This window comes from Homo sapiens, chromosome 4 (genome assembly GCF_000001405.40).
Source record: "Homo sapiens chromosome 4, GRCh38.p14 Primary Assembly".
Taxonomy (NCBI): Eukaryota; Metazoa; Chordata; class Mammalia; order Primates; family Hominidae; genus Homo; species Homo sapiens.
Genome location: NC_000004.12, coordinates 119,772,659 through 119,776,272, shown reverse-complemented (window position 1 = coordinate 119,776,272; position 3,614 = coordinate 119,772,659). Strand labels below are relative to the sequence as shown.

Genomic DNA, 3,614 nt, shown 5'->3' with positions numbered 1-3,614 from the left:
AGTATTAACCATCACAATTACCTATGTCCACAAATATGGAACTTGTTTCATCTCTTTGTCTATTTCTAAATTCATGCATATATTCATTTATTTGTTTCAAGAAAAAAATAAATTTTGCTGAAACTATTTCATGTAATACTGGTGGAATACGTGGTATTCCTGGGTCAGAAATAAAGGCCTTTTTTTCTCACAGGACAGCAAGCTGTATGTGCATCAGCTCCCCTGCGCAAGCCCACAGGAAAAATGTGAAGGAGGGTCTAGGAGGATGCTTGCCTGTGCTGTACGTTATATTACAGAAAAAAAAATTAAAAAAAAAAAACTCTGGTCTTGGAGAACCTACCACTTTATAGCGAGAGATAAGCAAATGTGCCTCTTTGTTCCAGGAGGAACATGACTTCATTTCTCAAGGTTGCTCTGGAAAATAAAATCCTAAGAAGTGTCTCAGGTGAAGAGTACTGATGGTCTTCTCAGAGGCATTTGAACCAGAGCAACTCCATTTTGAATAGGGGCTGGGTAAAACAGGGCTGAGACCTACTGGGCTGCATTCCCATATAGTTAAGACATTCTAAGACACAGGATGAGATAGGAGGTCAGCACAAGATACAGATCATAAAGACCTTGCTGATAAAACAGGTTGCAGTAAAGAAGCTGGCCAAAACCCACCAAAACCAAGATGGCCATGAGAGTGACCTCTGGTTGTCCTCACTGCTACACTCCCACCAGCGCCATGACTGTTTCCAAATGCCATGGCAATGCAGGACATTACCTATGTGGTCTAAAAAGGGGAGGCATGAATAATCAACATTTTGTTTAGCATATCATCAATAAATAACCATAAAAATGGGCAACCGGCAGCCTTCGGGGCTGCTCTGTCTATGGAGTAGCCATTCTTTATTCCTTTACTTTCCTAATAAACTTGCTTTTGATATAGGAATTAAAAAGAAATTATTTAGGCCAATAGTAAGGATAAGGAAGTCCTCCGTAAGATTTCCCTTTTAGTAAAAAACAGCCCCCAAATTATTTATTTTCTAACAAAAAGCAGCCTGTAAAATTGAGCTGCAAACATAGATAAGCAAGCTGGAAGCTTGCAGGGGTGAATGCCAGCAGCTAAAACAATAGGAAAAGGCTACCTGGGGGCTAGGCATGTTCAACATAGTGGCTCCATCTTCCCTTTTCCTTCCAAACCATTCGTACAGTAAGGAGCAGGCAACATGCTGCTGGCCAGGCAAAGACTCCATTTGCATAATAGAAGATTAGGGTGGGGCAGCCATCTTCCTTGGGTGCTATGTAAATGTCACACCTGGTCCAACCAATCTTTGGTCCCTATGTAAATCAGACACTACCTCCTTAAGTCAGTCTATAAAATACGGTGCACTTTGCTATTTTCCTTTATCTTTCTTTTTCCTATTAAACCTCTGCCCCTAAACCCACTTCTTGTATGTCTGCGTACTTGATTTCCTTGGAGTGAGGAGACAAACCTTGAGTATTTACCCCAAACAATGCTGCTTCACTTTCATTTTACTCTACAGGCTCGCCCTGAATTATTTCTTGTGTGAGATCCAAGAAGCCCCTCTTGGGGTCTGGATCAGGACCCCTTTCCGGTAACAGTCTTGCATTCTTGGCATACCTAAAAGCATTTCTGACAAGCTCCCAATAATACCAGTGCTGCTGGTACATTGTCTATATTTTGAGTAGCAAGGAGCTAGGGTTCCAGTTAAAAAAAATAAGATCCAAGGTCCCATTCCAAACCCACTGAATCCAAGTCTCCAGAAGGAGGTCTGGATTATGTTACCAAACGCCCGAGGTGAGTCTTTAAGAAATGATAAGTATTTAAAAATACTAGTCTAGATAATAGTTGTAATCTTGAACAGCTGAAAATAAGTAAAATTAATGTGATCACATTTTATCTTCCCATTAACTTACATGCAGTTCTAGACATATTTTATTTTATGATTCAGGCTTAACTCACAGTAACTTTCAAGTCCCAGCTGACAGCTTGTGAAGAGTAGCAAAATATGCCACTTTGTTAGAAGACTTCTTTTGAGCTGAAAGCAACTGAAAAAAAGCAGTCTACAAAAAGCCCTCTGCCCTCCACCTGTTTGCCTATAAGTGCGACATAAATTTGTAAAGGTGTCCCCCTTCCCTCTCTCCAAGGAGGACAGAAGTTACTCACTAGAGATAATCTACACCCTTATCAGCCTGAAGACTGCACCAGTGAGATCTACATAACAAACCTTGCTAAAATTGGCCCTTATCTGCCATTAGTTTCTCCATATAATTGCCTTTCCACAACCTGCCACACCTAGAAACTCAAAGTCTTTACCCTTTGTCTTATCATGTCTCTAAACATTTATTGTTCTTTTATTAAGATGCTATATATGCCCAGAAGTTACTCATGCTGAGCACTCGCTTGTGTAAATGTTCTGCACATACTAATTGATACGGTTTGAATCTGTGTCCCCACCCAAATCTCATGTTGAATTGTAATAACCAGTATTGGAGGTGGGGCCTGGTGCGTGGAGCCTGGATCATGGGGGTGGTTTCTCATGGTTTAACACCATCCCCTTTGGTGTGGTTGCAATAGTGAGTTCTCATGAGATCTGGTTGTTTAAAAGTGTGTGGCACCTCCCCACCCCCTTGCTCCCGCTCTGACCATGTAAGATGCCTCACTTCCCCTGCCCTTCTCCATGACTGGAAGCTTCCTGAGGCCTCCCTAGGAGTAGAAGCTGCTGTGCTTCCTGTACAGCCTGCAGAACCATGAGTCAATTAAACCTCTTTTCTTTATAAATTACCCAGTCTCAGGTATTTCTTTATAAGAGCGCAGGAACTGACTAATACACTAATGAACTTCTGTTTTGTTTTTCTCCTGCTTGTCTGTCTTTTGCTAGTCCAATTTACAGGGCTCCCACTGAAGAACCCAGGATAAATAGAGAAAAAGGGTTGTTTCCCACCCTGCACTTGGAATGAGAGAAGTTAAGTTACTTGGGCAGGGTCATTCTGAATGGGGGCCAATATAGAAGCCAGAATAGCTGAGAGCCAGCCCTGAAGAAAGTTGGTCAACATAAGATTCTGTGGAAGTCCTCAATAAAAAGAGAACATAGACTCCAACAAGAGCCAAACTTACAGGAAACTATTCAGAAAGACATTCATTGTGGAAGCAGGAGGCAATGCTTAAAGGAATCTATTGGGTAAGCCAAACAAAAGCCAAGAGTAGGAGAAGCTGAGGAATAGACAGGGTTGGGGACCCAAGCGGTGATGTAGTTAGCAAGGCTCCAGAAACAGGAAGCCAGACACCAGCAGACAAGAACACCTTCCACTGAGGCCATTTTGTGTTATTGTTGTTTTAAGCCTAAATACCCTATCTCTCCTCAGAAAATAAGAATCTGCCAATAAAGGCTTAAATACCCCAACCTAGCAATGCCAAATAAATTAATGAAGCAAATACTTCTCTTCAAATATACATCAGCACTTCTAAATTGTGTTTCATAGATTTTTAAGGAGTTGGGTTTCTTAAAACACATCACTGATTCATAATATTTAAAAGAATGGCATGATTAAGAGACAGGAGAAACAGAGAACAAGTTATTTAAACTGTATTTTAATTATTCTCATGA

At 41.0% G+C, this 3,614-nt stretch overlaps 1 annotated feature.

Annotated features, from left to right (window-relative positions):
- Window positions 990-1,542: an enhancer, noted in NCBI's record as "OCT4-NANOG hESC enhancer chr4:120695886-120696438 (GRCh37/hg19 assembly coordinates)". NCBI's record gives its function as "activates a minimal SCP1, AML or CMV promoter by ChIP-STARR-seq in primed H9 embryonic stem cells {active_cell/tissue: H9 hESC(primed)}" and the evidence as "EXISTENCE:reporter gene assay evidence [ECO:0000049][PMID:30033119]".